This window comes from Homo sapiens, chromosome 4 (genome assembly GCF_000001405.40).
Source record: "Homo sapiens chromosome 4, GRCh38.p14 Primary Assembly".
Classification (NCBI taxonomy): Eukaryota; Metazoa; Chordata; class Mammalia; order Primates; family Hominidae; genus Homo; species Homo sapiens.
This window is the reverse complement of record NC_000004.12, coordinates 153,370,853-153,394,599: the sequence shown is the minus strand read 5'-3', so window position 1 is coordinate 153,394,599 and position 23,747 is coordinate 153,370,853. Positions and strand designations below refer to the sequence as shown.

The 23,747-nt window shown below is 38.8% G+C and overlaps 1 protein-coding gene and 1 pseudogene across 4 annotated transcripts in view; one reads left to right on the top strand and one right to left on the bottom strand.

Annotated features, from left to right (window-relative positions):
- Window positions 1-23,747, bottom strand: part of MND1 (meiotic nuclear divisions 1) — a 70,470-nt gene that overhangs the window by 20,519 nt on the left and 26,204 nt on the right. For all 4 annotated transcript variants that reach the window (NR_045605.2, XM_005263275.3, NM_001253861.1 and 1 more), the window contains one exon: window positions 264-338. Coding sequence is in view for 3 of the 4 variants with exons in the window: in XM_005263275.3 (XP_005263332.1) it covers window positions 264-338 (75 nt within the window). In the remaining variant the exon portion in view is untranslated. The remainder of the gene's footprint in view (window positions 1-263; window positions 339-23,747) is intronic.
- RN7SL419P (RNA, 7SL, cytoplasmic 419, pseudogene) lies at window positions 12,585-12,871 on the top strand (annotated as a pseudogene).

Sequence of the window (23,747 nt, the reverse complement as noted above, 5' to 3'; positions counted from 1 at the left end):
AGAAGTGAAAACAGAATTTAGGAGACTTTCAAATCCAGGCAGTCTGGCTCTAGGGTTTATGCTTCTATGCTATGCTGCCATATATAATAATAATAAAATCTAGACTCACAATTGGTGAATCCTACCAGGTCAAACGTTCCTATCCTTGGCTATGATCCCCTTCTCTTCTGGTAGAAATGCATCCTCCTCACAGGAAGCTCTGTGTCGCTTACTCTAATATTTAGAATTGCCATTATTAAAATAATCTATAGACACAAACTTACCGTTTCACATCGGCCAATTTTAGCTTTCTCAATGCTTTTCTGTAGGCTTGCATGCTTTTGACTTCCCTCAGACAACTAGAGAATCAAAAACAAATAAAACAGCTTGCTAAGATAAACTGACATGTAGTAGTTGATGAAAACAAAGTCCACCAGGTGCAGTGGCTCACGCCCCAGCACTCGCCCCAGGCCGAGGCAGGCAGATCACAAGGTCAAGAGATGGAGACCATCCTGGCCAACACGGTGAAACCTTATCTCTACTAAAAATACAAAAATGAGCTGGGTGTGGTGGCGCACACCTGTAGTCCCCGCTACTCGAGAGGCTGAGGTTGCAGTGAGCTGAGATTGCGCCTCTGCACTCCAGCCTGGCGACAGAGCAAGACCCCATCTCAAAAAAAAAAAAAAAAAAAAAAAAGAAAACAAAGTCAAACACTATACTGGGAACTAATTTCTCCAATTTGAAGAAAACCAAGGACCATGAATCATTAGGGTACATTGAAAAAAAAAAAGAGTTTAAAAAACATTTTCTTTTTATTCCATGCAGATAGATAAAACGAATAGCATGCCTTTAATCTTTTCCACATAGTCTCCATTTATTAGGTTCCCCACTCCTACTCCAAGTAACTTGAGGTCTATTATTTAGTTAGAAATTGAACTTGAAGGCCAAGCACGGTGACTCATGCCTGCAATCCCAGCACTTTGAGAGGCCAAGGCAGGCAGATCGCATGATCCCAGGAGCTGGAGACCAGCCTGGGCAACACGGCAAAACCCCATCTCAACAAATACAAAAAAATTTAGCCAAGCGTGATGGCATGAGCCTGTAGTCCCAGCTACTCGGGAAGCTGAGGTGTGAGGGTGTGAGGACTGCTTGAGCCTGGGAGCTTCAGGCTGCAGTGAACTGTGATAACCCCATTGCACTCCAGCCTGGGTGACAGAGTGAGACCCTGTTTCAAAAAAAAAAAAAAAAAAAAGAAAGAAATTGAATTTGAAAATCCAAAAAAATCTTTTATATAAATTCTCTCTGCAAATTTTATTTCACTTCTGACTAAAGTCTTTTCAAAATACCTGACTTATTTCACTAAGTCAATAATAAATTTGTCACTTATTAAAGTACTTTACAAAGAATTGCATAGTTACATATTATGTTCTCAAAGAAGAAAAAAATGTTAGCCTGTTGCCAATTTTAGCTATGTTTTATATCTTTTTCTCTTTTTTTTTCTTGAGACAGTGTCTCACTCTGGCACCCAGGCTGGAGTGCAGTGTCACGATCATGACTCCCTACAACTTTTGCCTCCCAGGCTCAAGCCATCTTCCAACCTCTACCTCCCAGTAGCTGGGACTGCAGGTGTGCACCACCACAATCAGCTATTTTAATAATTTTTTCTAGAGCTGGAGTTTCGCCATGTTGCCCAGGCTGGTCTTGAATCCCTAGGCTCAAGCAATCTTCCGACCTCAGCCTCCCAACATGCTGGGATCACAGGTGTGCACCCTGGTACTCAGCCTGTTTTATATATCTTAAAAGTCATCAGTTTAAACTTTTTACTCAGCTTAGAAAGTAGGTAAGTTATATGTGGAAATGGATTAAATAATACTAGCATAAGGAGACTATAGATATTGAATGTTGATTGGCATGTGGGTAGGCCTACACATCAAAAAGGACTGGTTAATTTCAGAGTGTTGGCTTCTTTTCTCAATTTTATTAATCTCACCTGGGTCTACAAGGGAACAAATAATCACAGGGAATTCCAAATACCAAATTCTCCACATCTTTTGCTATAAACTAGTTAGAAATTACAGATTCATGTGATTAGGTAAGGGCCTTCTTAAAAAATATTCCACTCCTCCCTCACTCTTGAATTATAAACACTTAGAAAATAATTAATAATTGGATAGATTTAATTTCTGTTGGCTGATTATAAAAAACTAACTGTTTACGGCCGGGCATGGTGGCTCACACCTGTAATCCCAGCACTTTGGGAGGCTGAGGCGGGCCGATCACGAGGTCAGGAGATCGAGACCATCCTGGCTAACATGGTGAAACCCCGTCTCTACTGAAAATATAAAAACAAAATTAGCTGGGTGTGGTGGCGTGCGCTTGTAGTCCCAGCTACTTGGGAGGCTGAGGTGGGAGAATGGCATGAACCCGGGAGGTGGAGCTTGCAGTGAGCCGAGATCGCGCCACTGCACTCCAGCCTGGGTGACAGAGCAAGACTCCATCTCAAAAAAAAAACTAAACTGCCCCCCACAAAAAAACAACAAAAACCTAACTGTTCACAATATGATCTAGTTATATGTAAAGAGTAGATAATAGATACCCTTTTTTTGCTTAAAATTCAGAAATACTATCTTCAAAAAGTTGGTAGGTTTACCCTTGCTTTGGGAAATCTTTCACTTCTCAGTACGCATAAAGGAACTGTTGCAAGCTTTCCTTTAACAGTTTTCCAGTCACTGATTCTAATCCATAGCATGAACAAGATCTATAGATAATGCCAGGCAGACACCACCACAAACCAGTTATACCTCTCCTTGCGAGTAATTATCTTCCTAAGTTAAAAAAAAAATCTGCTGTGTGATATATATATGTATGTATGTGTGTGTGTGTGTGTGTGTGTATGATGGAGTTTCACTCTTCTTGCCCAGGCTGGAGTGCAATGGCGCAATCTTGGCTCACTGTAACCTCCGCCTCCCAGGTTCGAGCGATTCTGCTGCCTCAGCCTCTGGAGTAGCTGGGATTACAGGCACCCACCACCACATCCGACGAATTTTTTGTATTTTTAGTAGAGATGGGGTTTCGCCATGTTGGTCAGGCTGGTCTCGAACTCCTGACCTCAAGCAATCCACCCACCTCAGCCTCCCAAAGTGCTGGGATCACAGGCGTAAGCCACCACACCCGGCCGGAGTCTAGTTCTTTTAAAAAAGAGTTCCCATTTATAAAATAAAGTCATAATTTAAAAGTTAATATTAGCCTGACCAACATGGGGAAACCCTGTCTCTACTAAAAATACAAAATTAGCCAGTCGTGGTGGCGCACACCTATAATCCCAGCTACTCGAGAGGCTGAGGCACAAGAATCGCTTGAACCTGGGAGGCAGAGGTTGCAATGAGTTGAGACCGCACCACTGTGCTCCAGCCTGGGCAACAGGGTGATACTCTATCTCAAAATAAAAAAAATTTAAAAAAAGAAGTTAATATTCCACCCTGAAGGACCTACCTGGACTAATTAAAATATATACATAACATTTAAATTTAGGAGTAAATAATTTTTTCCAATTAAAAAAATACATATTTTAGCATAACATTTTTCCATTAAAAGTGTTTTTAAAATAACCAGACAGGTAGACATTATCCAAAAAGTTACTAATTATATAAAAGCCAATAATTAAAGAACATTTTATATACACACACACACACACACACACATATACACACACACACACACACACACACACATATATATACCTTTTTTTTTGAGACGGGCTGGTTCTGTTTTTTTGTTTTGTTTTGTTTTTTGAGACAGGGGCTGGAATGCAGTGGCCCGAACTTGGCTCACTGCAACCTTTGCCTTCCAGGCTCAAACAATCCTCCCACCTCAGCCTCCCAAGTAGCTGGAACCACAGACACATGCTACCACGCCCGGCTAATTTTTGTATTTTTTTTGTAGAGATGAACTTTGTCATGTTGCCCAGGCTGGTCTTGAACTCCTGGGCTCGAGCAATTAGTGCACCTGGGCTTCCTAGAGCACTGGGATTGCAGGCATGAGTCACCACACCCAGCCAGGATATATACCTTAACTATATTAATTAAGAGTCTTTCAGGTACTATACATCTGTTTGGAATTATTTACAACTTAAAAGCATTTGAAAGAGAGCTCATTCAGAAATTCCTTAATTATGAAAATAATCTTACATATTTCAAATGTGAAGCATGGAATTCATGATTTGTCATTTTAAGTATCTTGGTAATACAGGGAGGCACAATCCAAATGATGTTATTAAAGGAAAAGCTTCTGCTAATTATCCTAAGTACTGAAATAATTTGGTTCAACTCAATAGTGAAGGATTCTTGGCTCACTGCGTAGTTCTTAAAATCCCAACCACTGGAAACAAACAATGAAAGCAACTCTTGTGGGGCTGCCCATGCTATCAGCTTTTCATCTATACAACTGCACTACTGCCATAGTTCCTAACCTACACCTTGGAAATAAACCAAATGTAGTCCTCATGTGATAAAAGCTGAGATTTCTAGTCGCCATATATAAACTATCTGAACCAGTAGTTATCAAACTTTAGCATATAAAAAAAAAAAAAAAGCCAAAGGGCTTTTTAAGGCACAGGTTGCTGGGCTCTACCTCCTGAGTTTCCGAATAGCACATCTGGGGTGGGGCCCAATAATGTGCATTTCTAGTATGTTCCCAGGTGATGCTGCTAGTTGGGGACACCACATTTCTGAGAATTAGTGAACTAAACAAGAATCTATTTTCTTACAGTAACAAACCCAACTAAAACACACAGGATATTTATATACAGAAAAATATTATCTAGCTCACAAGCAAAGATGAATTATTGCTAAATACTGTAGCCTGAAGTAGAAAACATCTTAATGTTTGTCTTTAAAAGAAATACAAAAGTCCACATTTACAAAAATAGAGAGGTGATAGCCTATACTTTTAAAAAGGCATGGGCTGGGCGCAGTGGCTTACACCAGTAATCCCAGCACTTTGAGAGGCCAAGGCAGGTGGATCACTTGAGGTCAGGTGTTCGAGACCAGCCTGACCAACATGGTGAAATCCCGTCACTACTAAAAATACAAAAATTAGCTGGGTGTGGTGGCATACGCCTGTAATCCCAGCTACTCAGGAGACTGAGGCAGGAGAATCGCTTGAACCCAGGAGGCAGAGGTTGCAGTGAGCCAAGATTGCACTACTGCACTCCAGCCTGGGTGAAAAAGCAAGACTTCATCTAAAATATAAATAAATAAATAAATAAATAAAAAGGTATTTACCATAATATTCCCTTAAAGAGCAAAGTCTTCAACATTCTATAATGCAATTGATAATGGCAGGAGGCAGAAAAATGCCTAGGCAGATAGAGGCGGGTCCCTGGTGAAACCTCGCCTCCAAGCTGAAGACAGTTTAAAGCCTGAAAGCCAAGCTACAAATTAAATCCAAGGACTAGATTGAGAACCCGTCTTCCCATTTGGTGGCTTTCCTCTGATCCGCACGCTTCACCTATTTTACATATACCTACCCTTTCCTAATTGGTTTTCTATATTGCTGTGCTCACCTCTGAGTGGTGCCTTTAGTCTTTCTTTGCATACTCACAAACCAATCAGTATGTACTCCCCTATTCTGTGCCCATAAAAGCCCCAGATTCAGCCACACTGGGAAAGAAACCATCGGACTATGGGGTAGGGGACCATCCCCTGAGTCCCCTCTCCACTGAGACCTGTTCTGTCGCTCAGTGAAATTCTTCTCTGTCCATCCTTACCCTTCAACTGTCAGTATATTCTTGTTCTTCTTGGAAGCAGAATAAGAGCTCGGGAACCGCCAATGGCAGTACAAGCTGTAACACAGGTGGGCTGAGTGGGCAGGGTACCTCCAGCAGCAGGCCTGGGGCTGAGCAAGGCCCGGGTTGGGGCTAGTGGGGTGCTGCTGGCTGTGGAGGTCTCCAGTTGGCAAAGTGGCTGGGAAAAATCTTGTGTCACAATTATATACTGTAACAAATCCACTTCCAAATTTCACTAAAGTAAATAATAATTTTTAAAAACTCAGTAACCCAGAACAAAACTGCAGCTGCAACAATAAAAACTACTTATAATTAGTAAAAACAGGATTTCATCTTTATTTATTTTTTTGAGACAGGGTCTTACTCTGTTGTTCAGGCTGGAATGCAGTGGCATGATCATGGCTCACTACAGCCTTGAAATGCAGGGTTCAGGCAATCCTCCTACCTGAGCCTCCTGAGTAGCTGGGACTACAGGCATGTACCACTATGCCTAATTTTTAATTTTTATTGTAGAGACAAGGTCTCACTATGTTGCCCAGGCTAGTCTCAAACTCCCGGGCTCAGGTGATCCTCCCGCCTTGTCCTCCCAAAGTGCTGGAATTACAGGCATGAGCCACCACGCCCAGCCTAGGATTTCATCTTTAGATCTGAGGAACTGACACAGTGCTTCTCTTTAAATGCATTCCAGGTCACCTATACAGATAATCAGGATTGAGAAACATAATGCCAATGTTTTCTAAAGGGCTAATTCATTGCCTGGAGGAACTGACTATTCATAAGACACAGAATAATTGATTCAAGCTGGCTGCATTGGAATTCTGATTTATTCTTTTTTAGAAATTAAAAAAATGTCGAAGCATTAAGGGAGGAATATAGAGACGGTCACAGATGGGAAAGAATGCCAAGGAACAGAGAATGAGAAAGAGATAATAGCAAAAGCAACTAGATCAGTCTACTGCTTTATCAAAATTCGTGCAGTATGTTGTGGAAAAAAAAAAGGTTATATTTCCATTCTGCTTTAAAAAGAAAAAAAAAGCCATACAATTTATTTATTTATTTGGGTTTTTTGTTTCCTTGTTTTGCTTTGTGACAGGGTCTCGTTCTGTCACCCAGGCTGGAGTGTAGTGGTGTGATCATGATCTCCCAGGCTCAAGCAATCTTCCCGCCTCAGCCTCCTGAGTAGCTACGACTACAGGTAGGCACCACCATGCCAGCTAATTTTTTTATTTTTCATTTTTTTGCAGAGATGGGGTCTCACTATGTTGTCCAGGCTGGTCTCCAATTCCTGAACTCAAGCAATCTTCCTGACTTGGCTTTCCAAGTGTTGGGATTACAGGTATGAGTGACTGAGCCTGGCCTTGTTTACGTTAAAATTTAAAATTTGTATCTTCTAATAAAGGTAATATTCCATTTAAAAATTAATCATAAGGAAACAATAAACACTGTAAAGATATATTTATATATAAAGATGGGAGCAATATACCTGTCTCAGCAATAGAGAAATGTTCATATTTCATGGTATAAATATGTCATAATTACACAACCAATGGAAGTGTTTTCAAAGTATTTTTAATGAAAAATTCCCGTGGGATACAACTGAGTTTTTTAAAAGCTAGAAGGAAAACTATAATACAATGACAGCCTATCTATGACCAAAAAAACAACAAACAAACAAAAACCACTGCAAGAAAATGCACTAAATCTAAGCAATGGTTATCTCTGTGTTGTGAAACATACTTTTAAGTTTTCTATATAATGAGCATATATAACTAGTATTTTAAAAATTATTTTCCTGTTATATGAATATATTCTCAAAAGATTAAAATGTGAGCATTCTCGTTTTAAAAGACTCAAAGCTAAATCCTCATTTGCCTTTCCACCTCCTCTGCACCATCCCTACAACACCCTCCCCAGAGTGACCCCTGTAAAGCCCAGTGTGCATCCTTCTTGTCTTATTTCTTTGCTTTACATCTAGATATAGATCAATATGGATAACATTAAAAACATGTAGGGGATTATACTTTACTTAGTGTCTTATGCCTTGCTATTTTCAGAGAAATTTCCACATCTGCATATATAGTTAGGTCTACTTTGATTTCTTTTTTGTTGTTGTTGTTGTTGAGATGGAGTCTTGCTCTGTCGCCCAAGCTGGAGTGCAGTGGTGTGATCTCAGCTCACTGCAACCTCCACCTCCCGGGTTCAAGTGGTTCTCCTGCCTCAGCCTCCTGAGTAGCTGGGATTACAGGGGTATGCCACCACGCCTGACTAATTTTTGTATTTTTAGTAGAGATAGGGTTTCACGATGTTGGTCAGGTTGGTCTCAAACTCCTGACCTCATGATCCACAGTCTCCCACTGTTGCTCAGGCTGGAATGCACTAGTGCAATCATAGCTCATTGTAGCCTCAAAACTCCTGGGCTCAAGTGATCCTCCTGCTCCAGCCTCCCGAGTAGCTAGGACTACAGGTATGCACCATCATACCCGGCTAATTAAATTTTTTTTTTTTTTTGTAGAGACGAGTTCTCACTATGTTGCCCAGGCTGGTCTCAGACTCCTGGTCTCATGCGATCCTCCTGCCACAGTCTCCCAAAGTCCTGGGATAACAGGCGTGAACACCAAGCCTGGACTCATTCATTAAAAAAAAACAAAAACAAAAAACAAAAAACAAAACACTTCAATGTTTTAGAGCAGTTTTAGGTTCAAAGTACAACTGAATGAAAGGTATAGAGATTTCCCATAGGTGACCTAATTCCACATATGTACAGCCTCCTCTGCTATCAAAATCCCACGCAAGATGGTACATTTGCTACAATCAGTGAACCTACATTGACATCATTATCATCCAAAGTCCACTGTCTACATGAGTTCAAAGTCTTTTGTTCAGTGGTTGTGGGAAACAACTCTCCCTGCCCTCTGGATTCTAAACTACATAGCTACAACGAGGCAAACAGCCCAAATTACTGCTGGCATCCACCTTGTCATCATGAAGAAAGCCAACCTGAGGACATGAGCATCACACAAAAGGCAAAGCCAAGATAAATGCAGAGAAATGGAGTCAGAGTCTTAAATGATGTCTGAAGCATGCTCTACCATTTTCTTTTCTTTTTTTTTTTTTTTTTTTGAGACAGGGTCTCACTCTGTCACCCAGGCTAGAGTGCGGTGGCATGATTGTGGCTCACTGCAACCCCGACCTCCTAAGCTCAAGCAATCCTCCCACCTCAGCCTCCTGAGCAGCTGGGAAAACAAGTGTGCACCACCACACTGGGCTAATTTTTGTATTTTTCGTAGAGGCAGTGTTTTACCATGTTGACCAGGCTGGTCCTGAACCCCTGGAGTCAAGCAGTCTTCTTGCATTGGCCTCCCAAAGTGTTGGTATTACAGGCATGAGCCACTGTGCCTGGACCATACTCTACTTTTGAAAAATTTGAACTTAAATGAGTCGTTAAATCAATCTCCCCTCTTAAACCTGGATTTTCTGCCTTTAACACAGTAAATATTTTAACTGTTACAATGCATAAAGCTTTAATAATAATCTCTTTCATATAGTGCTGGCCAACTATGAAGGTTGTGAAAAATTTCGGGAGATATCAAATTTAAAACATCCTATTCCTCTATTTTGGGACATACAACAAAGTGTCCAAGAATAAGAGTGGCTGGAATGAAGTAATGCATGCCAGGAAAGCTCTTCATTCAATAAGCATTTATAAAGTACCTACTACATATACAGTTACAGTATTATTGGCTCAGATCTTTTCACAAAATATAGCTGGGTAATGAACAACTTAAGGTATTGCTTTGCATGTAGTGAGTACTGGATGTTTGTTGAATATTTTTGGATTAACTTATTTTTCATTATATGCTGTAAGACAGTAGTCATTAAAAGAAAACACTCTGTGAAGCTAGCAAGAATACAGCATATTCATGTTCCACTTAACCAGAGGGTTAAATTTCCAGCAATCCAACCCTGAGGAACACATTAAGAACCTGGAAATAAGAAATGTAGTCCAGAAATCCTAAATAATGGACATAAAGAGTATGAAAATCCCATCAAGTAAGAAACATAAAGGACAAGTGAAGCCACTTAATAAGTACATGCTGAGACACACATAAAATAATGCCTGCTAAAGATAGGACCACAATCAATTACAATGTGAAAAAACGAACTGTCAGGCAGAGTCAGAGCCTAACAAGTGACTAGTACCTCAACTAGATTTAATAAGACTAAAGTAATAAAAGTAGAAATAGGCTGTGCATAGTGGCTCACGCCTGTAATCCCAACACTTTGGGAGGCCAAGGTGGGAAGATCGGTTGAGGCCAGGAGTTTGAGACCAGCCTGGCCAGGAGAGCAAGACCCTATCTCTGACAAAAAAAAAAAAAAAAAAAAAAAAAAAAATTAAACATTAGCTGGGCATGGTGGCATGCACCTGTAGTCCTAGCTACTCAAGAGGGTGAGGAATGAGGATCACTTGAGCCACAAAGTCAAGGCTACAGTGAGCCATGATTGCACCACTACACTCCAGCCTGTGCAACAGAGTGAGGCCCTGGCTCTTTAAAAAAAAAAAAAAAAAAAAAAAAAAAGCAGAAAGTAGAAATGGAAATATGGATGAAAAAAAGCAGGCAGATTTTAAAAGGAACCATTTTTAACTTCTAGGAAGGATTAAAAATATTAAGAAGTAGTTAAGAGATATGAAAGATCCAACAGAAGCCTAACAGTGTCAGGACAATGAACTTGGTCGTGGCTACAGTCAAAGGCTTACGCAGAATCCAGTTAGAAACCATTCAGATATTTTGAGAGTCAAAGACATGCAAAATCCAACTGATGCCATGAAGGAAGTTACATATAAACTTATGAATGTTTACAGACTGTTTAGACCTGAGAAATGGGTTCTCCTATAACAAATTCAGAGATGAGGGCTAAGTTGCAGAGGCCACTAATTGTCTACCAATATCCATTCTTTCTTAGTAACAGGACCTCAGACAATAGGTCTAGCTAAAAATAAAAAACAAGAAACTGTATTTCCCCGCCTACTTCAAATCAGATGTAGCCATATGACTAAGTTTTGTCCAATGAAATGGGATCAGATGTTGGAAGCGGATGTGCCCTTTACCCTTCCCTCTCTCCTTCATGCTACCTCTGTAATAAGGACATGATGGAGAGTGCTTCAGGAGTCACAACAGAAGTCTGCTAGGGAGGGCACGTAATCTTTGTCTCTTTTTTAGTCTAGAGTTCTACCAGTCCACTGACTGCAAGTTCAGCTTCCTGTCCCTTATCCCAACCAAGGCCTGGAGAAAAGGAGAGAAAGAGAGAGGAGGTAAACGAGACAGGAAATACACTTAACAAGTATTGTTGTTAAAATGCCTCAGTGTTCTCTGGGCCTAGGATATATTTAAGCTAAATCCTTTTAGGCCACACTTCTGGGTTCTTTGTGGGTGTCCCTGCTGGACACTCCCCAGCTGCAATCCACATGATGTAGAAAACACATTCTATTTTTCTGGCTGCTACCCAACATTCCACCTCTCACCATCCGGCTTCTCTGTTTGCCCCCAATTTCCTCCCAGCCTGGGTTTTCAGAGATTCATAGTACACAGACTCTCCGTTAGGTTTCAATGCCCTTCTCTGGGACAGAATTTAACACAGTTCGAGGTGAGCTCTTGTTCTCTCACTTTTGTGTGTGGGTCACATGCAGTCCATGGAAATACTCATATACTCAACAAATTTCAGGCTTGCTGGCCAAGGTCCTAATTTTATGTATTATAAAAACTGAAAGAACCTCCCAACAGATCTACATAGATGCTAAAGATCAGCAAAATTATTTTCACATATGGAATTGCTTTTTTCCTATTTTTTTTCCAAGAGCATTGGGAAAGAATGGGCCTAAAAGTTAGCCTATTCAGTAGTCTCCATCATGTCACTCAAGTTGTCTAGGCTGAAAGTTTCTCATACTTGATTCAGTTTTACTTCTGGCATTTCTGAATACTTATGAGAATTAAGATTGTCCACCATTGAAATTTCTAATGAAAATATTGTTTAATTACTATTTTAAATGTTTTAATGTAATGTTATTCAGTTCCTTTAATTTTGTTTATTAGAAGGCATCGATCTAAAATAAAACAAATTATTTGCTAAGAAACACCAGTTAAGAGTTTAAACTACAATTTCTACTTAAATAGAATTAACTTAAAGATTTAAATTTCTATTTAGATCAGGTTAAAATAAACTTCCCATTAAATTTATAAAGTCTGAGAAATATTCAGTGATTAGAGTACCTGGCCATAAAGGCTTTTATCTTTTTAAGAGAATAATACTCTTACTTTTCTACTTCTGCCTCTTACAGTAGAATGGTTCAAGAGGACTTGGATTTCAAAAAATTAAAAGGGCAAAGTAATGCCTTCCCTTCCATGGGCTATATAGCTAAAGAAGAGCGAAGAAAGCAAGCGAACACATTCTAATGGCAAACTAGCTCAAGAGTTGTGAGCAACCCACCAAACAAAGATTGATGGTAAACCAAAGTGTTAGAGGTTATCTGAAAGGTGAATGCATATAACTTTAAAAAATAACAATTAATATAATTTAAAACTGAGATTGCTTTCTTTAGAATCTAAAGTTAAGCTATTTTTTTTCAAAATAAGTTATCATATACAAAAGTTATGGTTAAGTAAATATAAATACTGAGGAACCTGAACAAGGCCCTGTATCTGAATGTGATGAAATACAGGCCTGGATGTTTAAACCATGCCCTTGAGTCAAGTAAGAGCTAGACTTTAAATGAAAAAAAGCACCCTCCTAACAAGGTTATTTTTATGAAACTTCTAAGTATATAGCCTGGTGTGGTGGTGTGCACCTGTAGTCCCAGCCACTTAGGAGGCTAAGGAGCGCTTAAGGCCAGGAGTTCTAGGCTGTTGTGTGCTATGCTGATCAGGTGTCTACACTAAGTTTGGCACCAATATGGTGACCTCCTGGGAGTGGGGACCACTGGATTGCCTAAGCAGGGGTGAACCAGCCCTGGTAGGAAACGGAACAGGTAAAAACTCCCATGCTGATCAGTAGTGGGATCATGGCCATGAATAGCTACTGCATTCCAGCCTGGGAAACACAGCAAGACTCTATCTCTTAAAAAAAAAAAAAAAAAAAAAAAAAAAAAAATATATATATATATATATATATATATTATATTATATATATTATATATATAGCAGCCAGAGATGTTATGAATACTGAAATTTTAAAATTTATGAAATATCGATATGCTTTGGGGGCAGCAAAACAGCCCAAACAATTTGAAATTAAGGCTATTTCAGGAAAGTAAGAATATATATAACTTTGACACTCTGCCACTACCTGGTAGCAGCATCAAAATTGTAGGCCCAGTTTTTTGTAGAATAAATCTTTTCAAGGTTGTCTGATTTGGGGGGAGTATATTTTTGAAGAATGGCTGCCACAAACCTGTATCTCATATGAAACACTGAGGGGTGTTTGGGAATGGGAATTCTATAGCTGTAGGGTCAGCCTTCTCAGGTTCATCTACCAAATAGCTTCAACAGCAAAGGAGAATCATTGCTGGAGGAAGGTTTGGAAGCCCAGCCCAAAGCTACCTACCACAAAAGCAAAACAGACAATAAATATAAAAATAAATCTCTGGCCGGGCGCAGTGGCTGATACCTGTAATCCCAGCACTTTGGGAGGCCGAGGCAGGCGGATCACAAGGTCAGGAGATCGAAACCATCCTGGCTAACACGTTGAAACCCTGTCTCTACTAAAAATACAAAAAATTAGCCGGGTGTGGTGGCAGGCGCCTATAGTCCCAGCTACTTGGGAGGCTGAGGCAGGAGAATGGCGTGAACCCAGGAGGCGGAGCTTGCAGTGAGCCGAGATCGCACCACTGTACTCCAGCCTGGGCAACAGAGCGACAGTCTGCCTTAAAAAAAAAAAACTCTGATGTCTTAAGTTATACCACACAAATTCATATAAGCTTCAGAGTTGTAATATTATACTTTTCAGCATTATTTAAAATAACTTACCAGTAAAAAAATCTTAGTTTATTTACCTTATTCCCCCCACAATCTTTGAGTCGTTTAATTTCAACAATTATATATCTAATTCTGGATTATCCAGGTCAACAGAGAAGTAATAAGACAATTCGGTTTAGAAAAAGTGGCTTTTAAGTGCACAGAGATATAATTTGGCAGATCCTGTTAGTTGCCTCTCCAAAGCCAGCCCTTCTTCGTTAAGAGAACTACAATTTCTGTTCAGACTGAGGTGGTAATGTGCTCAGAGGATGGTCCCTTCCCAGAGCATGAATTTTTTTCACTTAGATCCTTTCAGTGTGAGCAAGGAATTCAGATCTGGCCAATAAGACATAAAAGAAAGCCTACTTGGGACAGGAGACATTCTGGGATACTTCTCCTGGATAAAGAGAGATGTCCAAGAAGACAGTTCATCTTTCTTTCTGCTTTGGTGTTGTCATGGTAGGACACAGTAGCTGCAGTAACTACTTGCATGTAAAAAGGAAAATCCAAAAAATGCCAAAAAAAAAGAAATCTAGTCCAGACCTCTGATATCAATGTGTGGTGGGATTAACCAATCCTGAAAGAAGCTACCTCCAAATTTGTTACATAAGATAATCAACTCCTATTATTTAAGCCAACTTTGATCTACTTTTCTGTTATTTGTGGCTAAAAATATCCTGATTCATGCATATAAAAGAGAAAAAAAATTATATAAAAATGTCCACAGTAATTAGTTTTGAATGATACCACAGACCATTTAATTTTCTTTATTCTTTTCATCTACAGTGAATAATTTTTTTTGGTATGGGGGGATAGGGTCGTGCTTTGTTGCCCAGACTGAAATATGTGGAACAATCATAGATCACTGTAGCCTCAATCTCTTGGGCTCAAGCCATCCTCCTACCTCAGCCTCCTGAGTAGCTGGGACTACAGGTGTGCGCCACAACACCTGATTTTTTTTTTTTTTTTTTTTTTTTTTTGAGATGGAGTCTTGCTCTGTTGCACAGGCTGAAGTGCAGTGGTGTGGTCTCGGCTCACTGCAACCTCTGCCTCCCGGGTTCAAGCGATTCTCCTGCTTCAGTCTCCTGAGTAGCTGGGATTACAGGCACACATCACCATGCCCAGCTAATTTTTGTATTTTTAGTAGAGACGGGGTTTCACCATGCTGGTCAGGCTGGTTTCGAACTCCTGACCTCGTGATCCACCCATCTCAGCCTCCCAAAGTGCCGGGATTACAGGCGTGAGCCACCACGCCTGGCTAATTTTTCTTATTTATTTATTTATTTATTTTGCAGAGATGAGGCTTGCTATCACGGTCAAGCTGGTCTCAAACTCCTGGACTTAAGCCATCCTCATCTTGGCCTCCCAGAGCACTGGATTACAGGATTGAGCCACTGTTCCTGGCCTTTTAGAATGGCTCTGTCCAGTTCAGACTTACTTAAAAAATGGAAATATCAGTATTTTAAAATAGAATATGTAGCTTTTGTGGTTTCTTTTTTTTTTTCTTTTCTTCTTCTTCTTCTTCTTTTTTTTTTTTTTTGAGACAGAGTCTCGCTCTGTCGCCCAGGCTGGAGTGCAGTGGCAGGATCTCGGCTCACTGCAAGCTCCGTCTCCTGGGTTCACGCCATTCTCCTACCTCAGCCTTCCGAGTAGCTAGGACTACAGGCGCCTGCAACCACGCCCAGCTAATTTTTTTGGTACTTTTAGTAGAGACGGGGTTTCACCGTGTTAGCCAGGATGGTCTCAGTCCCCTGACCTTGTGATCCACCCACCTAGGCCTCCCAAAGTGCTGGGATTACAGACGTGAGTCACCGCGCGCAGCCCGCTTTTGTGGTTTCAAAAGTTCTCACTTGCTAATGTCATGTTAGAGATACAAATTTAAAGTATGCTAAATCAGTGGAGAGAACAGATGTTTAATCTATAGACACTTATACATGCACTAAGAAAGTTGACTACTATACTGAAGTCCCTTATAAGAAGGGAGTTGTTAAGGATAAGGAATGTGGATTGGGCTCTTTCAGAGACTCCATACAGGTATATTTAATTAGCAAAGGAGTCAAAAAACACCAGTTGTTATCAACAGCACTTTGCACATGTTGGGATATGATTTGCCAACTGGTGAGACTATTCCAGGTATCAACATAGAATATATGTCAGCTCTGGGGAGAAAAAGTAGTCTAGGACAGTAAATAGTCTTATTTGCTAAAATGAACCCATAAACTTAGGCAGCATTTCTCCAAAGTGTATTCCATGGATCACCAATCCCTCATAAAAATGGGTTGAATGAGATTCACAATGCATGCTGGCATATTAAAGCTTTAGAAAAGTCAAACTAGTTTATCTTTGTCAACCCAGGATTGCTCAAATTCCTTTGATTATAGAACCCCCTTTTATGTAACACTTATCATATATCCATTCCACAGAATTACTTTGGGTAATGCTGAGCTCAGGCCCAGCAAAATATAATTCAGGTAAGCTAGTAGAAAAAAAAGTTAAAAATTCACATTTAATTATTTCTATACAATATGTATTTCTGAAGCTGAGTTCTAGAAAAAAAATCAAGATTACTAAAATAACTATTTAATGGAAACCACCTTTTCTGCTGTATGTGTAGACTGGGAGTCAAAGAAAAGGTATGGGCCAGGGAGTAAGACTACTGGACCCAGTACACAATAGCTGGGACAGAAACAAGGCTGTGATATATTGATTTATGCATTCACTCAAAATTCATCATGTTTCTGTATGTTTCAGTGTGTCTCAGAGACTGCATTCCACGTGGGAGATAGAAAACGATTAAGATATAGACCCTGCCTTCAAAGAAAGTCTGCCATAGAAAACAAGGCACATAAGGACTTCACTTGAGAAAAGATATATATAAAAGACAGTCACAGCACAAAAAAGTATTATACTCTGCTGAGGAGGAAGGGATTAAAAAACTTCCAAGCAAAAAGAACAAGGCACATACAACTATAATTGGTCCATTATAGATAAAGAAAAAGAAAAAAGCCAGGCACAGCATGTAAATGGCGGAAGTTAAATCTGAATCTAGGGAGTCTAGGTCTAGAGTCTACTCCCTTAAATCACTGCGCTATAGTGCCCTTCACCCTTCAATTCCCTTATGAGCTCCCACAGATCTTTCTAGCACCAACTTACACGTCTCCTTAACTATAAAGCCTTTTCGGAAGCAGAACTGACTTTCACCCTCTTTTGTACTATCATTATTTTTCAGCATTGCATATATCACACCATATTGCAATGATTTGTTGACATGGCCATCTCTTCATTAGAGTGAGAGGTTCTAGAGAACAGAAACTACCTAATTCATTCTTATGTCCCTCTCATCAATCACAATGCCTGCCATAGCAAGCATTCACTAAACATTTACAGAACTGAATAAACTTCAGTAGAGATGCCTATTTTTATTCAAAAACATTTCAAGTTATCTACACAGCCCAATAATTAACCTACTCTTGATGCACTCAGTTTTAGCTATAAAGAACTGTATATATTCACTTCTAAAAATTGGTAACAAAACAAAACAAATACTTAAGTTGTCCTAAGAATATCTGTTAGTGTCCTCCCTAAACCAATACACAATATCTAAAATTCAGCTTAGTATGGATTTCAAAATGTAATCCTTATCATAAGCCAATCCCTAAAAAATATGTCCCCAAACTACCTTCCAGTGGCAACAAGTGGGGTATAAACCAGAACTTGGATGAAGAACTAAGGAAGAGGTCAGCAGGGGAAGAAAACAAAATAAAGATTTTGATTTTCATAATTCTGACCCATTAACTTTAAATAAAACTCAGTCAAAAACCACTACATAGACTTGCTGCCATATTAATAAAATTCTCCAAATTAGTATAAGGTTTTTGTTAAGAATAACTTCATACCCTTTATTTCCTTTAATTTTCATTCACTTGTCAAATACTTGAATCTACCACATGCCAAAAACGGTGCTAGGTACTGATACAAGTTGACTAAGACATGGGGTTGAGTAAGCCAACAATTGTAGCATAGTCCAGCAGATTAGAGTTATGCTCGGGGTACCACAGCACCAGAGAAAAGGAATATGTAAGTCAGAACAGGAAGTGTGGAAGGGACGGACAGGGGTACAAATACAAAAATAAATTTTGGAAATTCTATTCTTTTTGGAAAAAGACTAAAAAATGTGCATTTCAAGTCAGTAGTGGTCAGTTACTTCCTGTATTGCCAGGTGACTCCAGGGGAATAGCAGGTTAAACATAACAGTTACAACATTGCTCTTTCCTGGCTGTGTGCACATCACAGTACCCCATGCTATGTCCACTAACACAAGCCAAAGTAAAATGGAGGAAGTCATTCCCTTGAAGTTGAATTGTTCTTTCATTCTTAAGACCAAGTTATTTGGGAAGGGCAAAGAAGAGAACCAGAAGATGATGGGAAGAACCTATCCTTACACATTTTTACCTGGCTTTTCCTTAGAAAAAATATTCAGAAAGACCACAAACACACTCACTCCTTTTCTCTTTCAAGTGTGTGTGTGCACACACCCACAAACACACATCCACACACACAGTGACTAAATCATTACCACACGGGGGAAAATGAACAAGTTCCAGCTAAAATTCTAGAAATAGCTATCAAGAAGAAAAAGTCATCTCTTGACTTTTAATAATTTCTATATATTCTTCAGCATACAGAGAAATGTCATTTCAGTTGGAAGTTTCTACAACATAATTAATCTTTATAATTATTATCTGTCGAGCCAAAATAGCTGCTTCACTATCATCCAAATACTAAAAAAATTTACATATATTTCAGGAGAACTAGCAGATTAGAACATGCACTACCACTTTCATCACTTCCACATAAAGCTTTTCTTGCCCATTAAAATTATTAATTTATGTTAAAAGTCTTCAGAAATGCATCTGTGTCACAGCTAGAGATGTTAGTTTAACAATTATTTTTCCAAGCCAATACAAAGATTTATTTCAGCTTTTCAGAAATAAATCACTACACCTCAAATTATTTTCAGCAAAATTCAACCACATATACAGAGAAGGAAAATTTTTTGCTTAATATCAGAATATAACAGCTATTTTCTAAGCTTACATATAATCTAATTGTTTTAAGCAATTAGGTAAGCAAAAGAATATAAAAACATTCTGACAGGAAAATTTCCAGCTTCCTCTGCTTGGTGTACATGTACACAACAAAATTCAACCAAACATAAAACACCCCATATTATGGCCTCCATTTGATTTCCAACCTTATTTTCCCATTACTATATAACAAAAAATTGCATATCTTTTCCAAGCTGGTCACCAACTATCCACTAAATGTAATCTGCTTTAAAGCTTTGTTTATCTGTGGTTACAAACAAGGATTATGGAGTAAGAATGCCTGGATTTGAATCTTGCTTCATCATTTACTAATACTGTCACCTTGGGCAAATTATTCAATCTCTTAGTGCCTCCATTTTCTCTTACATAAAATAGAGTTAGCAGCAATACGTACTTCATGCAAGTGTAAGAATCAAAGGATACAAAACATGCAAAAGCTCTTAAAACTGTACCTAAGTGCTCAATAAATATTCCTTCTGTTTTCCCTTGGGAATTTCCTCCATCCCTCTAAACCTACCCAATTTTCAGCTCAAAATAATCATTTCTAAGAAGTCTCCCATAGCTATATAAATGTATAAAAATCCTGCCATCCTTTAAACTTGTATAACAATTAGGACCCATAGCAAAGACAGTATTTGGCACTGAGTATACATTAAACATTACACAGTTAAATAACTTTTTCCAATAAGTTAATTAACTATATCAGGAATTCATTTTGCCTTACCAATTAAAGTGTAAATTCTCTGGATGTGAACCTCATATTCTATTATTTTTTTATTGCCCAAAAAACTTAGCACAGCACATGCACGGAGCAGCCACACAGAAAATAACCGCCAAAGTTAACACAGCCAATGAGCAGTTGCTGGTTTGTCTGCTATCTTAGAAGACGTTAAAGAGAAACGTTAATTATAACCATGAGGCTTATAGACTGTATTTAATAATAATCAACACATACAACCTAAAGGCAAGAGAAAAAAATGTTTCCTGATTTTTCAGCTTATAAGAATGTCTGTTCTCAAGGGACAAGAACATTCCTGCACATAATTGGAATCACTGGCAGAAGAGTGATGAAAAAAAAAAAATTAAAGAGTCTCCCCCAACCCCCATCTGGAAGTAATTAACAAGAAACTCAAGGGAAGTTAACATTATAATTTGGCAATATGTAGAATAAGCTGATCTTTACTATAACCTTAAGTTTGGAACCTAGTTCAATCCAACATGAACTGAGTGGCTTCTATCTTTATGTGAATCCCACCATCTCTTGAAGCATTTTTCATCTCTAATGCTCATTTAGGCAGTCTGGCATGTATTACTTTTCACTCATTTTACTCTTCCAAGTGTATATATCTCATCTTCAGCACAGGTTACAAGTTCCTTCTTATGAAGTCTGGACCCTGACCTCTACTTTTATGAACTACCTTCAGTATCTGGTAAAATGTTTTACACACAGTAGACCCTCAAATATTTGTTCTAACTAAATGAAAAAGCTTACGGTATTTATTCCTGAGTCAATACTGATTTAGCTGATCTGCGGCCACCATATACTGACTGCCTAAAGTACCAGGCATCTTACACATACCACTTAATCCTCACTACAACCGCCTTGAAGTAGGTGTAAGCTTTCTTTCACAAACTAGGAAACCAAGGCTTTAAAAGGCTTAAGATATTTTTCTAATATTGTACAGCTGGTCAAGAAGTGAAGCTGTGATTTCCATCCATGTCTGCTTTCTAACTACTACTCTTTCCATGAAGCCATATTGCTTCTCTAAAATGATAAGTGATCTTCAGAACAATGGCTGAGGGGCACAGGGTGATACTCTCATGACTTCTCAACATCCAGTGAAAGATTAAAGTAGGTTTAGGTCTGCGAAATGGCATTAGGGTCATTTTATTTGAGTTAAAAAAATAGTTATCTATAGCAAATGCCAAGGGCTATCAACCTTTTAGAAATGACGTATCAAAACCTTGCTCTTCATTTATTTCTGGACTGCTTAGAACAGGAGGTATAGGATCTACCTATGTGTTAGCCTCTGATGTGACTTCAACTTATGAGCAGGTGTGTCAGATTAAGCTTTGATCTCCGGTACGTGAGAGTGGGGAAAGAGGGCCATGTCACAAAATACACTGGATGCCAATTCTCTCATTCAGAATTAATAAACACTGACATTAAGCTCAATTTTTTAAAAGCTAGATTCACTGTACTAACAAGAATTCCTTGCTTACTTCTATTAAGATTTGGCAAGCTTCCCCACTTTCTAAGTAGAAATTATGTGAAATCCAGAAGTAAAGAAATAAAAACCGTATATTTGACCTTTTCCCTCAAATGCAAAGAATTTCTCTGAAGTCAACCAAGAAATGCTGAATCAGCCCCCATTATGCCTAGTTTTAGGAAGAAATGATTGTCTGGTAAGAAGGTAAGTACTTGAGGCTCAATAATTATTTGTTGAATAAATAAAACACAGTTCTTGTCCTCAAGTAACTTTGAGACTAGTTGAGATAAGATGGCAGATTTAACATAACTACATAGGTAATCACACTAAATGTAAATGGTCTAGACACCCTAATTAAAAGGCAGAAATTGTCAGATTATACAAAAAAAGCAAGTCCCAACTATATGTAAGAAGCTTACTCTAAATATGAAAATACAAAAAGATTAAAAGTAAACAGAAAAAGATATGCCATGCTACTATTAAAAAAAAAAAAAGATTTCCTATAGAAAGAGTTACTCAAAAGAAAGAGTTCCTATGTAACACCAGAACAAAGAATATTACCTGGAATAAATAAGTCATTTCATAATGATAAATACATCAAGGGCACATAATCCTTAATGTCTATGCATTCAATAAAAGAGCTTAATACCTATATGTTCATCAATAAACTGTTGTATATTCATACACTGAAATTCCACTCAGCAACAGAAATGAATGAATACATAAAGCAACATGGGTAAATCTTAAAATAATTTTATTGAGTAAAAGAAGCTGGGGGTGGGGGAAAGTACACACTACGGCATGATGCCATCTATATAAAATTCTAGGAAATACAAACTAATGAATAGTGGCAGAAAGCAAAGCAAGTTTCCTGGGGATAGGAGGAGGGGAGCAGTGTAGGGAAGGAAGAGAATGATTTTACAAAGGGGAATTAAAAAAACTTTTAGGGTTGATTGGTATGTTCAATTACCTTGATTGTGGTGATAGTTTCGTGGACACATACATATGCCAAAGGTTATAAAAGAATACACTTTAAATATGAGCAGGTTTTTGTATGTCATTTATTTCTCATTAGAGCTGCTTTTAAAAAACTAAGAAGATATACACACATAAAAAGTTTTTTTTAAAAAAAATCCTATGATATCCTCTAAGATGGCCTGAACGATCCCTCTTTGCACAGGCATACCTCGTTTTTATTGTGCTTTGCTTTACTGCACTTCAGATAGCGTGTTTTCTACAAATTAAGTTTGTGGCTACCTTGAGTCAAGCAAGTCTATTGGTGTCATTTTTCCAATGGCATGTGCTCACTTCTTGTCTCTGTGTAATTCTTGCATTAAACTTTTTCATTATTATTATATCTGTCACGGTGATCTGTGATCTTGATGTTACTATTGTAATTGTTTTGGGGTGTCACAAACCATGCCCACATAAGACAGTGAACTTAATATATGCTGTGTGTATTCTGACTGCTCCAGTGACTCACCGTTCCCCCATCTCTCACCCTCCCTTGGCCTTCCCTATTCCTTGAGACAAAACAATATTGAAATTAGGCCAATTAATAACCCTACAGTGGCCTCTAAGCATTCAAGTGAAAAAACGTCACACATCTCTCATTTTCAATCAAAAGCCAGAAATGATTAAGCTTAGTTAGGAAGATACAGTCAAAAGCCAAAACAGGCGGAAAGCTAGGCCTCTTGTGCCAAAGAGCCAAGTTGTGAGTGCAAGGGAAAAGTTCCTGAAAGAAATTAAAAGTGCTAATCTAGTAAACACGCAAATGATGAGAAAGCAAAACAGCCGTATTGCTGAGATAGAGAAAGTTTTAGTGGTCTGGGTAGAGGATCGAGCCAACCACAACGTTCCCTTAAGCCAAAGCCTAATCCAGAGCAAAACCTCAACTCTCTTCAATTCTCTGTAGGCTGAGAGGTGAGGAAGCTGCACAGAAAAAGTTGGAAGCTAGAAGAGGTTGACTCATAAAGTTTAAGGAAAGAGGCCATCTCCATAATGTAAAAGTGCAAGACGAGGTTTCAAGTACTATGAAGTGAAGCAAGTTATCCAGAAGACCTAGCCAAGCTACACTAAACAAAAAATTTTCAGGGTAGACAAAACAGCCTTCTGTTGGAAAAAGATGCCATCTAGGACTTTCATAGCTAGAGAGGAGAAGTCCATGCCTGACTTTAAAGTTTCAAAGGCCAGGGTGACACTTGACACTCTTATTAGAGGCTAATGCAGCTGGTGACTTTAGTTGAAGCCAATGCTCAATGAAAACCCTAGGGCCCTTAAGAATTATTCTAAATCTACTCTGCCTGTGCCCTATAAGTGGAATAACAAAGCTCAGATGACAGCATATCGATTTACAGCATGGTTTACTGGGTATTTCAAGCCAACCGTTGAGACTTGCTGCTCAGAAAAAAGATTTCTTTCAAAATATTACTGCCCAATGACAATGTACCTAGTCACCCAAGAACTCTGAGGAAGATATACAAGGAGATTAACGTTTTCATGCCTAATAACACAATATCCATTCTGCAGCCTGTGGATCAAGGAGTAATTTCAACTTTCAAGTTTTATTATTTAAGAAAAACTTTCAGTAAGGCTATAACTGCCACAGTGACTCCTCTGACGGATCTGAGCAAAGTAAATTGAAAACCTTCTGGGAAGG